This window comes from Homo sapiens, chromosome 14, assembly GCF_000001405.40.
Source record: "Homo sapiens chromosome 14, GRCh38.p14 Primary Assembly".
Classification (NCBI taxonomy): domain Eukaryota; kingdom Metazoa; phylum Chordata; class Mammalia; order Primates; family Hominidae; genus Homo; species Homo sapiens.
Window position 1 is genome coordinate 74,493,614 of NC_000014.9, and position 12,106 is coordinate 74,505,719.

At 49.4% G+C, this 12,106-nt stretch overlaps 2 protein-coding genes across 3 annotated transcripts in view, besides 4 other annotated features; one reads left to right on the top strand and one right to left on the bottom strand.

Moving 5' to 3' along the window:
- ISCA2 (iron-sulfur cluster assembly 2) lies at positions 152–3,493 on the top strand. Of its 2 annotated transcripts, NM_194279.4 has the most exons (4): positions 152–232; positions 437–539; positions 662–777; positions 1,213–3,493. In NM_194279.4, the coding sequence occupies exons 1-4, from the start codon at positions 162–164 to the stop codon at positions 1,385–1,387; spliced, it is 465 nt and encodes a 154-aa protein (NP_919255.2). In that variant the 5' UTR covers positions 152–161; the 3' UTR covers positions 1,388–3,493. The 2 variants fall into 2 exon arrangements, with proteins under 2 accessions (NP_919255.2, NP_001258936.1); NM_001272007.2 differs by lacking the exon at positions 662–777.
- Positions 155–234: an enhancer, noted in NCBI's record as "active region_8728". NCBI's record gives its function as "activates an Ori minimal core promoter by ATAC-STARR-seq in GM12878 lymphoblastoid cells {active_cell/tissue: GM12878}" and the evidence as "EXISTENCE:reporter gene assay evidence [ECO:0000049][PMID:35858748]".
- Positions 4,570–12,106, bottom strand: part of LTBP2 (latent transforming growth factor beta binding protein 2) — a 114,055-nt gene continuing 106,518 nt past the window's right edge. Inside the window, exons 29-36 of the mRNA NM_000428.3 lie at positions 11,370–11,561; positions 11,165–11,248; positions 10,313–10,441; positions 9,856–9,993; positions 9,606–9,773; positions 9,040–9,321; positions 7,828–7,977; positions 4,570–7,416 (exon numbers count right to left, since the gene is read on the bottom strand). Coding sequence (NP_000419.1) covers positions 7,271–7,416; positions 7,828–7,977; positions 9,040–9,321; positions 9,606–9,773; positions 9,856–9,993; positions 10,313–10,441; positions 11,165–11,248; positions 11,370–11,561 — 1,289 coding nt within the window. The 3' untranslated portion in view covers positions 4,570–7,270. The remainder of the gene's footprint in view (positions 7,417–7,827; positions 7,978–9,039; positions 9,322–9,605; positions 9,774–9,855; positions 9,994–10,312; positions 10,442–11,164; positions 11,249–11,369; positions 11,562–12,106) is intronic.
- Positions 6,491–7,486: an enhancer, noted in NCBI's record as "NANOG-H3K27ac-H3K4me1 hESC enhancer chr14:74966807-74967802 (GRCh37/hg19 assembly coordinates)". NCBI's record gives its function as "activates a minimal SCP1, AML or CMV promoter by ChIP-STARR-seq in primed H9 embryonic stem cells {active_cell/tissue: H9 hESC(primed)}" and the evidence as "EXISTENCE:reporter gene assay evidence [ECO:0000049][PMID:30033119]".
- Positions 7,173–7,467: a silencer, noted in NCBI's record as "tiled region #8112; HepG2 Repressive non-DNase unmatched - State 12:CtcfO, and K562 Repressive non-DNase unmatched - State 13:Ctcf". NCBI's record gives its function as "represses a minimal TATA promoter and a strong SV40 promoter by Sharpr-MPRA in HepG2 and K562 cells {active_cell/tissue: HepG2 | K562}" and the evidence as "EXISTENCE:reporter gene assay evidence [ECO:0000049][PMID:27701403]".
- Positions 8,896–9,590: an enhancer, noted in NCBI's record as "H3K4me1 hESC enhancer chr14:74969212-74969906 (GRCh37/hg19 assembly coordinates)". NCBI's record gives its function as "activates a minimal SCP1, AML or CMV promoter by ChIP-STARR-seq in primed H9 embryonic stem cells {active_cell/tissue: H9 hESC(primed)}" and the evidence as "EXISTENCE:reporter gene assay evidence [ECO:0000049][PMID:30033119]".

Consider the following 12,106-nt stretch of genomic DNA (forward strand, 5'->3'; position numbering starts at 1 on the left):
ATTCCTAGCCAATCAGACACCTTCTCCTCCCGCACTACCCAATAGGCATGTTGGGGGGGCGGGGCCTCCGTGAAGTCCCGGCCTCCTGTTCGTTCTCTCCGCCTCCCGAGGCCCCGGGTGAGAAACGGGGGAGACGCGAGGGGCGGAGCTTGTGGAGGAAGATGGCTGCCGCCTGGGGGTCGTCCCTAACGGCCGCGACGCAGAGAGCGGTCACTCCCTGGCCGAGGGGCAGGTACCAAGACTAGAAAGGCACCTGGAAAGGGTGTTTGGTTCTGCGCCTCTAGGACAAATGGGAAACTAAGGCCTGTGGGGGATGCGAGGGTTTGGTGGGAGGCCGTCCAGGTGGGGGTCGCCAGGTTTAGCGTGAGGCGCTCCAGGTCGAGGGTTGCAAGGTGCCCCTTCTGCTCCCGGGCTCACCCTCCTCCCTTGCGCGCAGGCTCCTCACGGCCTCCCTGGGACCCCAGGCGCGTCGGGAGGCGTCGTCCTCCAGCCCCGAGGCCGGCGAAGGGCAGATCCGCCTCACAGACAGTTGCGTCCAGGTAGGAGGCCGGACGCGGAGCGGCGGTACCCAGGCGATTGGCGGGAGCAGCGGGAACTGCTCTTCACTCAGCCCTTTAACTCCCGTTTCCCGCTATTCTTGATCCCCCTTCCTGCATTTCAGAGGCTTTTGGAAATCACCGAAGGGTCAGAATTCCTCAGGCTGCAAGTGGAGGGAGGTGGATGCTCCGGATTCCAATACAAATTTTCACTGGATACAGTTATCAACCCCGACGACAGGCAAGGAGGAAGGGGTGGGCCCCCAAAGGAGGTACAGGAGGGACAAAAGTGTCTCCAGTTTAAGGTGCACTTTTATTCCAAATTTAAAGGGTTTACCTGGGATGGTTAACACCGCCCGTCTCACAGTGAGGATGCAGTAAAGGTTTGTTGTTCTGAATCAAAGTAACTAAGTTATAGGAGCAAAATTGATCTGCCCAGGTCCATTGGGTAGTCGGTAGAAAGTCAGGCCGGACTAGATTCCAGGCTTAAGTCCCTACACGTTTCCCAGTATTTATTCCATTGAATCATTTTGCCTCAAAGAAAATCAGCACCTGTTAAAGGTAATGGGGAAGCTCCCTCTGTACTTTAGAAAACAGAGGATGTGCACCTCTGGGCTCAGGGGGTGTCTTTTTTGTGTTTGCGATACTCCTTAATGCCTTCCTCCTGTCTTTTCAGGGTATTTGAACAGGGTGGGGCAAGAGTGGTGGTTGACTCTGATAGCTTGGCCTTCGTGAAAGGGGCCCAGGTGGACTTCAGCCAAGAACTGATCCGAAGCTCATTTCAAGTGTTGAACAATCCTCAAGCACAGCAAGGCTGCTCCTGTGGGTCATCTTTCTCTATCAAACTTTGATGTGATGACTGGTGACTCTGGGATTGTCACCAGTTGTACCAATTTGAAGAACCTGGAATTAGTAGAATTCTAGAAGTTTACTTCTAATCATGTCCCTCTCAATTTTATTTCCCGCAGTCCAGGAGTGTTATGTTTTGCCACTATTATTTTCAGAATGTGAAGATTTTACTCTTGGCTTAATTTTTCCCTCCACTCAGTGCTAAGGCTGAGCCTCCAGATGCTGTTACCTCAGATTTAATCACTGGTTGAAACTCCGTATAATCTGTAGAGCCTCCATGGCTCTAAAATTTGGAATTAACTTCTCTTGCCTTAAGAGCTGCTTGTACATATGTGGATAGCTATGTATAAAAGCTTCATTTTAAAGAAGGTTCTTATTGTGTTGTGGATCAGGGTCACAGATTGGGTAGCTTGGACACCAGTTATTAGAGGATGAGAAAAGTAAATGAAATGTTCTCTTTTTCACTTCACCCTGCCAGAATGTGCCACTTGACTTATCTTTATTGTCTATGCAACCCATTTGCCACTTCCTGTTTGATAGGACAGATACATTTTACTCTCATGCTCGTGGATCTGCTATGAGTCATAAAACCAAGAGCCCGTTACCCAGAAAACTTGGACCAAACCCTCACTGATAGTGAATTATTTCAAAAATAGCCTCCCTACTCATACAGACATTTTAAGATTCTGTGACAATTTAATGACTGAATCTTTTTAGGATATGTTGCTTTACCTGCCTTCTGTTGTAAAATGGCTCTGGTCTCATGCACAGCAGGAAGTGATCCCTTTATTGTTATAGGTAATAGATTCTTGGGAACCTTTTTTTAGATTGGGTTACCAGATGAAATGTAGGATGCCCAGTTAAATTTGAATTTCAGGTAAATAATTTTTTAGTATGCATATGTCTCAAATATTGCATATACTAAAAATTACTATTTGAAATTCAAATTTAACTCATATTTTTATTTGCTGACCTTGGCAACTCTGCTTTAGGGTCACCAAACAGCTTTTAAAATCACAAATTCTAGTGAATTAAAGTACTTGTGTAGGTGTGGCACTTAAATAGGCTTCGGAGCTTGAAATAATCCTGTTAGAGTACTGTGGAGCTGTGTGGACAGACAGTGAAAGAAATCTACCACCATCACCACACCGAATGATTTATTAATACTGATGTTGGAGAAACTACAACCAAGTTGATTCTGGAAGAGTTACTGGTTAAATCCATCTTTTGCTTGGGAGCCTAGAAGTTTGTTACAGTAAAGACTTGCATTTCTGCACTGGATTGGAATTAAGGTCATTTAGTAAGAATTTACTATTTAAAAAAATGGAAATAGAGTTTAGAAAATATCTGAGACAGAAACTTAGATACATTTCCAACATGGCAAAACCTAGGACTTAGAGAAAACAAACCTATCATGCGGTTAGAGGAGAGAAGGGGACACTCAGAAACCTGAGCACATTTCTTAGAGCTGGTGGAAGGAGGCAGAAAGCAGCATACCATGGGAGCATCTGTGTGCACACATGACCAAGACAGTGCCGCCAGTACCTGCGCCTGATAGGGTTTCAGTTCAGACTACCTGTCCTTTCATCCTCCTTAAAAAGATTTTGCTACATTTTAAACATTAGAATATATTCTTTAAGAATATTTTTGTGGGTTATTTATTGATTTTGTGGTTTTAAAACTCTTGAGCACGAGCAGAACAGCTTTTGTTGCTAAATCAATCAAATTACAGTGGTGCACTAGACAGAAACAGTCCCTTAGAATGCAGCTTATATGTGAGTATCTACTGTTAATGGGAGAATTGGAATTTTATGTTTAGAAAAAGGCAGATTTGGGGCTGGGCACGGTGGCTCACGCCTGTGATCCCAGCACTTTGGGAGGCCAAAGCAGGCAGATCACCTGAGGTCAGGAGTTTGAGACCAGCCTGGGCAACATGGTGAAACCCCATCTCTACTAAAAATACAAAAATTAACTGCGTGGTGGACACCTGTAATCCCAGCTACTCGGGAGACTGAGGCAAGAGAATCACTTGAACCCAGGAGGTGGAGATTGCAGTGAGCCAAGATTGCACCACTGGACTCCAGCCTGGGTGGCAGAGTGAGACTCTGTCTCAAAAAAAAAAAAAAAAAAAAAAAAGGCGGATTTGGGAAAATCATGTTACTTCACACTGAGAAAGCTTCATTGGGAAACCAGAAGTGGCAGCAGGAAGTCTCCATTGGTGGAGACTTTATGTTGTTTTTCAAAGAGAAGGTCTCTTGGTCAATGCCCAGATCTTATTGTGGTACCATACTTGAGTTATGTGATGAGAGTGACCAAGGGTATGTAAATTATGTGTCCCATCCACTCTTAGTTTCTTTCTTTTTATTTGAGGCAGGGTCTCAATCTGTCTCCTAGGCTGGAGTGCAGAGGTGCAGCCTCTACCTCCCAGGCTCAAACAATCTTCCCACCTCAGCCCCTGCAAGTAGCTAGGACTACAGGTGCACACCACCAAGCCCAGCTACTTTTTGTATTTTTTGTAGAGATGGGGTTTCACCATGTTGCACAGGAGTCTCGAACTCCTGGGCTCAAGCAATCCTCCTGCCTCAGCCTCCCAAAGTGCCGGTATTACAGGCACGAGCCACCATGCCTGGCCCACCCATAGTTTCTTCGTATGGGAATGTTGAGTGATTACAAGGGATAGGAGGAAAGAAGTTGAGAAGTAAAAGATTAGGAAGGACTACTAAAGTAGGTGTTCAGGAAGAGACTCTTCTTTCTGTAACTTCTGAGAATCGAGCTCTGTTGTTTTGTCGTTTGTTATAAAGCATTAGAGTGCAGGGGTGGCATTTGGCAGGATCAACCTGGTATAGGGAAGTGGGCAGCACTGATCGTGGTGGTACAGCTCTCCCTTGAAATCTGGACCCAAGCTAATGTTGTGCAGCTGGCTTTGGGCAGGGCCTAACACTGTTCACTGCATGTTTTGTCTGAAAGGAAGGAATCTCTTCTATTTTTCTTCCTATCTAGCATTGATGTTTATGATCGTTCTTTTAAAATCCGTATTTTCCACTCTTCATAAAAATGCCACAGGGCTGCCTGACAAATTTGCATTAAGGAATTTTGACATAATTAGCACCTGGCTTTAGTTGTAAATTATAGTCAGATAAATATATAAAGAGAAGGAGCATTTAAGCAATCTTTGGCCAGCAACTGTATTTAAAAATATTTTATTTTTTTTGAATAGGTGATACATATGGTACAAAATTCAAAAAAATACAAAAGGAGATACAGTGAAAAGTCTCCCAATCCTGTACCTATCCACCCTGTCACCCTCCCCACAAACCACCATTGGTTCTAAGAATTTATCCTGCAGATGTAATCCCATAAATTAATGTGAAATATGCACAAGAATATTCATTACAGCATTATTTATAGCAAAAGACAGGAAACAATGGAAACGTCTGTCAGTGAGGGACTGATTAAATAAATTATGGTTTATCCATTCAATGGAATAGTATACAGCTGTAAAATGAAATGAGGCAGCTCTAATTGCAAGTATAAAAAAAAAGCAAAGTGCAGAACAGCATGCATAGTATGCTATTTGTATTTTAAACAAAGGAAATATGTATATATGCATACAATATCTCAAGGTTGGCAGGAAGGTGGAGATTGGAGTGTTGTGGGGGCAGTGGGAACAGCAGTTACGAAGGTGTAGTGCCAGCAGGATATATTTGGGGGATGGTAAGTTCTCCGATGGTGAGGTATAAGGCGGAGTGGCAAGGATGAGGTGAACAGACAACCGCTTCTCTTTCCCCATTCTTTAGACAAATAGTGTTATGTTACATGCTGTTATGCAACCCTCCCTTTTCCCCTTAATTTGTTTTGGATATCTTTCTTAAGGAATTTAGAGCCACCTTTTTTAAGGGTTCCATAGCAATTAATTGTTTCTAATCTTTAGCTATTACAAATGATGCAGTAATAACTTCTTACGTATGTCATTTTATATCTGGTGAAAATATATCTGAAGGTTAAGTTCCTAGAAGTGGAAACTACTGGATCAAAGAGTTAGTGCTTTTATAATTTTGAAGGACATTGCCATATTGTCCTCTTCAATATGTACTTCTGTCAGCTGTTATGAGAGTACCTATTTCCCACATGCTTGCCAGCTAGGAGTCTTAACAAGCTTTTTGATCTTTGCCAATCTGACAGTTTTAAAAAGGATCTCAGTATGGTTTTAAGTTGCATTTCTTTTATTATGAGTGAAAGAATATTTTTACATGCGTAAGAGTGACTTATTTTTGTCTGCTGAAAACATCTCAATTAGTATAGGGACCTAGAGCAAATTATTTAAGCTTTCTATGTCTCAGTTTCCTCACCTGTAAATTGAGAATAAACAATAGTAAGTAGGATTATTGGATAATTAAATGAAATGTATGTATGGCACTCAGCACAGTGCCTGGCACATGGCAAGCATTCAATAAGTTATGTGATGGCTAACAATCAGAGGAGCAGGTAGGACAGGGCAGATTAAATTAAGAAAGTAGCATTCACTTCCATGCTCCAGTCACATGGAGCCTTGTTCATTTACATTGCCATTCATCAGAGAAGTACGAAGTCAGAGCTTTCCTTGTCTTTTAATAGTAAAGAGTCATTTCCCATTGGAACCCATCATAGGCTATCAGCAGAGCTGGCCAGGGAGTAGGCACAGCCTCATCTCTAATATTTAGACTTAGCCAACATGGTAAAGAAATTTAATCTGATATGAAATAAAAACAACAGAAGAGACCAGATGCACATTTCTTTATTCCACCATGGTTCTGAACTCCCAGCTAGTTTGGGTTGGAGTGAGTCTCTGCTTGTAAACTCAGAGGAATGCCTGCCATCGTTTTCTGAAGGGAAAGGGCAGGGGTTTCTGAGTGGAGGGGAAAAACAACATTGGAAATCTGGCTGCTTCTGAACAAGACCACACTGGAAAATAGACTTTTTACTTTTAGCACATCAAACTGGTTTTCACAAAAGGAGATCCCAGAAGAGGTTTGTTTCCTGTAAGAAGCAGTGTTTATGTAATAGAGGTCTTTGTAGATGGGTGCTGTATCCCATGGCAGCCCTTGCTGCTGGTGCCCACAGGCTATCACTGGGCGGATTCAGCTACTGAATATTTTCTTTAGACGTATAAAGCCTTGGCTCCCCTTTCTCATCAACTCCACGTATTTTTCATCATGTCCTCTTGCTGCTTTCTCAGGCTCTTTGTTCTTCTTCATTTGTGTCTCTTACATTCAACAAGCTAATATCAGCCTTGCTTCTCTGAGTGAAGGGATCTTCTGCCACTCCTTGGGGTCAGAGAATGGGCTACAGGATGGAGGTGTGGCAAAATCAGGGCCCAGAACAGATTGGCTGAGTGGTGGTGATGGTTCTTAGGAGGGGGCTCTGGAGTCAGTCCCCAAGCTTCCCCAAATCCTTTCTTGCTCCACAGATTCTGAAGGACCTCCCTAGGGCAGATGTAGCCTCTGTCCCAGTTGTGGGATCGTCAGGATGATGGTGGATTGTGGCTGGAAAGGGGTGTCTGCAGTGTGAGGCCATGGGGCCTTGCATGCTCGCACAGCTTGGGAGGGTGGATGAGGGCCATCCTTTGGTAAGCATCCCATAGCAAGGCCAGGAAAGGTGGTGGACAGGGCCTCATGCGGTGGCTGAAGCATTAAAGCGATTGGTGGTGCTTGAGCCAAGCAAGGGCATGGAGGCAATGACCGAAGCTTACAGCCAGAGGCTAAGCTGGGAGAGATGAAAGCAGGCAAGGCTGATTGGAAACCTCTGGCCTGATGTCACGGTGTCTTCCCAGCTAGGAAATCATCCTCAAGGCCCCTGCCTGTGACTGGAGGCCATTTCCAGGTAGTTGCCACACTGACCCCTGACTGCTACTCCTTGGCAGTGCAGTGGGGGGGCCCTGCCTCAGCCACATATCCCGGGGAGCAGTGGCAGCGGTAGGAGCCCTCTGTGTTCTCGCAGTAACCATGGACACAGAGCACAGCAGGCCCGTTCAAGTCATCACACTCATTCACATCTAAGAGGAAACAAAGGAGAGTGCTGTAGGGAGCCCAGGTGCCTCTGCTGGCTGCCTCCACCTCTCTGGTTAGTAAGCCCTGGCCACTGCCCTAGAGTGAAACCCTAAGTGTGACAGCCAGAGGCTGAAGTCACTTCCCAAAACCAAGCAACTCAAGGACAAAGCAGGGGGCAGCAAGCTCATACCATGCCCAAGACCGTGCTCTCTTGTCCTTGTCTTTTGTCTGGGAACCTGCACGGAAGGGGCTTTCTAAAGCACATAATTAAACCTTCCTTTGGCGCTTTCTTCCCTTCCAGCCTGATGCAGACAGCCCCACTAGGAGGCAGCAGTGGCTCTTCCAGCCTTCCTGAGTTCAGGCGTCTCTGTGGGCAGTGGGCCAGCCTGACTCCTCCATCAGAATTCTGCACTTACCTACGCAGGCCATGTGGGCCGCATCCAGCTGGAAGCCCTCAAAACAGTCACAGGTGTAGCCCTCCCGCACGCGCACACAGCGGCCATTCTCACAGCCGTTCAGGATGCCGCACTCCTCCGCCTGAAGCCCTTCGAAGCCGGCTGGGGGCTCTGGGAGGAGGAAATCGGAGAGAGGAGGAGGCTGAGGGCTGTGTCCAGACTCTCCCTAATGCTGGGACCCTCGCCCTTCTGGACAAAGGGTGCCCCTGTGGAACTGTGGGGGTGGGGGCAGAGAGGATCATAAAATTCTTGTGGAAAGATGCTAGAACAAAAGGCAGTACTCTTGAAAAAAAAAGTATGTGTCATTTTAGATGGGGAGAGGTGCTCTGGGCTTCAAATGAGGGCTCCAGGGAGGCTGAGACTCGCTGCTTCCACAATGCCCGGCTCCTGCTGGGGTTTGGGTGGTCGAGGAGTGTGTTGCTACATAGTTTTTGGGTTTGGGCGTGGGGAAGGGGTGAGGTGTTTTGTTTAAACCTTCACATCGTGTTTTTGGGAAGTGGGGAACAATTGGTAGCAGAGGGGCCTCACTCAACACAAAGCAAAACATTGACCAGATCTACCTAACCCTCTTCACTCCCTAAGCACCCCTCCACCCCATGGAAAAGGCCACACCCTACCCAGAGGTATGGTTTTAGTCTGATGTGGTAGCTTTGCCTGTGGTGGGTACCGTGTGCATGGCACAGTGCTAGGCTTGACTTCCTCATTAGACTCCAAGGCCTGAGTGTTTGGATCGCACCATTCACAAACCGAGTCATCACGGTGGGCCTTTAAAGTCCTTAGAAAACCTTAATCCACACTTCAGGTCACAAGTGTGAATGCTGGGTGTCCTTAGAGCAGGTTATTCTGCAGCCTGTAGGTGGCGTGGAGGGAGAAAAAGACTGCAGTGAACAGCTTTCTCTCTCTCTCTCAGTCCCCACAGGAAGCTTGTAGGTTGGGACAGGGGCAGTGTCCTGTACCTTTTTGTGTCCCTGTGATAGTTTATGACGGAGTTGTTAGGGTCGGACCTGGGCGTATGTACTTGTCTCAAGCGAGCCGTGAACGGGGACCTCTGGCTTGGTGTGTCTTTCCCCTTCCCAGTCCTCACCCTGCTGGCAATATGACTAGCAGGTGGAGGAGATGGAAGTGAAACAGCTTTGGTGCCCACCTCTTCCCCAGTTTTGCAGCAACACAGACCTGGATGGCTGGCCACGTAGTGGGGCTGGAGTTCTGAGGGCTGCAAAGGAGACTCAAGGATGGGTGTGCGGTCCGCTGAGTGACCGGCTGTGTTGGGGAAGGCAGGCTCAGGGACGGTGTCCTCGGGGCCCAGGTAGTTGTAGAAGGGGGCCCCATCTGGGCCATAGATGCTGTAGTGCAGGTCATCGGGCCCGGGGCCATACTCATAGCCTGGCCGGAAGTGGACCCCGGCCTCCCGCTCTGCCTCAATGCGAGCCACGTTGCACAGCTGAGCATAGACCTCTGTCAGGGAGGAGGGAGAGAAGGAGCTGGGTTCTAGCTCCTGCCAGCTAAAGCCTGGCTGGCTTTGTCTCTGGGAGCATGCAAGGACTGGTACCCTCTGGGAGATCCTGGCAACATTCCTCTCCCCACCTCTCCCCTGCCCTACTTTGTCCCCAAACAGCAGGGATGGAAGACAGGGCCTTTGCTCTGCTCCTTCTTTCTAGATCCCCAGTTCCAAGGTGAGGGCATCCCCCTCCCTGGGGCCTGGCCCAGCCCTGCAGGGTATCCCCTTTGCTCCCCCTCACCAGAGCTCCTCGGGGGACACAGAGCACACTGCTGGCTCCAGGCCTCGCCGTCCTGGCAGCAGCATTCCGTGTAGGTGGTGCGGTGCCCACGCAGGGGTTCGCTGCACACATCATTGGTGACTTTTTTCCAGCAGATGTCCATGTGGATGTCGTGGTCAGGGAGGTCCTCTGGTGGCACAGGGCACGGAGGCACATGAGCCCCCCAGCCCAGGTACCCTTCTCCTGCTCCCCCACGCTCAGGCCCACTCACCCGTGCTGCTGGTGCTGTTCATGCAGCGCTGCTGGCTGAGGTCCAGGGTGAGCGGGGGGCTGCAGAAGCAGTGGAAGGAGCCCTCCGTGTTGACGCACTCGCCATTCTCACAGGCCAGGTCCTGGCACTCATCGTGATCTGGGGAGGCAGGAAAGGGTGGGGCATTGCCAAGGTGGCCTTTCCACCAACCACCCTCAGGGAAGGGTGTTTGCCTATCACTGATAATGAAGAGTTAGTGCCCTGCCTCCCTCCCCTCAACCCAGCCCAGCCTGGAAGGCCCTCCTGGGGACAATCTCTGACAGCCCACAGCTCCTTCACCTGGGACCAGCCTGCTGCAGTGGGCGGCCTCCCTAGGAAGGGGGACTCTCAGCAATAATGGGACTGGCTGGCAGGGGCTGGGTGGGCCATTATTCAGCTGTGGGCCTGGGGTGGGGGCAGGGATCATGTGTGTCCTTACCCTCACACTTCTTGTGGGAAGCATCGTAGTGGAAGCCGGGATTGCACAGGCAGACATAACCAGGCACGGTGTTGAGGCACCGGCCGTTCGGGCAGAGACCAGGCCCGAATATCACACACTCATCCGCATCTGTGGAAGGCAGAGCTGAGGTGAGAGGAAGGTGAGAGGCAGTATGAGGGGTACCTAGAGCAGGGAATCCAAAGCCAGGCTGGGTTTGAATCCCAGCTCTGCCACTTACTAGGTGGCTTTGGGCAAGTTGCTTAAGTTCGCCTTGCCTCCGGTTCCTACATACTCTTAGAGTTGTTGTAAGGATGAAAAGGTGTTAATATGTGTGAGGTGCTCAAAAAAGTGCACGGCGTGTAGCCAGCACCCAAGAAAAGCAATCTCTGTCTCCATCATTTCCTTCTCAAGACTAGCTTCAGGACTAGGGTGCTGAGGGGCGCAGTACCTGGACCATCCTACTGTGAGTGTGTGTTCCCCAGAGTTTCTGGCCTCATCAGTGCGGCCAGGGAGATGAGCGCAGCCTCTGGCCTCTAGAGCAGTGCTCTCCACTCTGTCCCTGTGCCCACATGTGGCTGTGGGTGAGAGTTAGTCAAGGCATCATAGTTTGTTTCTGGAGGTGCAGCTTGGGAGAGCAGGGAAACTGAGGTGAGGCTCATGTGGACACTCCAAGAGCAGCTTGAGTCAGAACTTCCAGCTAACACTCTGCAGGGAGTCAGCCCTGGGACAGAAAAGGTGGAGGCAACCTGCGAGGCCAGGGCTGGATGCAGAACTTCCCCAGGGACCCTGTGGAGGAGCAGGCTAGGGCCCACTCAGGTGAAGGAGTTTGGGGCAGAGGATGGAGCAGATTACCTGTGTACATGGTCTGTCCAAACGTCCAGGCTCCTTCCACAGGAATGTAGCCTTTTCCACTAGGGCAGATCTCGCTGAATTCAGCTATGTAGAGAGGCGTTTCAGCTCAGAGTGGGGAGGGCCCTGCCCCCTTCCTCTCTCCCCTTCTTTCAGTGTCACCTTGCAGAGCTGACCCTTCGAGGATCTGGAACCCTTGGGGTCTTACCTGAGTCCTCAGACGGGCAGAGGTCACAGGCATCTCCCCAGCTAGCGCCCTGGGTGCAGCAGCATTCAGCCTGTGTGGTGTTCCGGCCCAGGACACTGGAGCAGGGCGCATGGCCCTTCTGCCCGGAGTAGCAGTCCATGCGGGTGGGGGCCGGGGCATGGTCCCCCGTTGGGGCCTCAGACATACTCTGACCTGTGCGTGACAGATGCTCATTACTGTCTGTTCATGACCCTCTAAGGGGGGTCAATAGTCCTTGACTTTATTTCTTAAATTTAACATTTGTGTAGCACTTTACAGTGGAAAAAATTCTGTTACCTGTATTACCTCACTGAGGCTCTCCACAACCCTAAGAAGTGGCCTAATCATCATCTCAAGAAATTGAGGCTTAGAGAGGCTTGGGGCCTCGCCACTGCTGTGCGATTAAGCTATTAAGCAGTGCAGCAGGGATCTGACCCCAGTTCCTCCTCCCCTGCGCTTTGCGGTATACCATGCTGCCTGCCTCCCTGGGACGGGCTGCCCCCAGTGCCTGGCATGCCATATGGGCAGCCCTCTGGTCCATTCTGCTTCACATGTACCCCAGCCCCTCCCACCCTTCCTCGTCTCCCTCACTTTCCCCCAAGGCAGTGAAGACCAGCTGAGTCCTAGTCCAGCCTGGCGTGAGAGGCTGAACCCAGGAGCTCTCGGGTGGAGTGGGAAGTGGGAAAGGGAGAGCCCGGTTTAGTTCAGCTCCAAGTCCT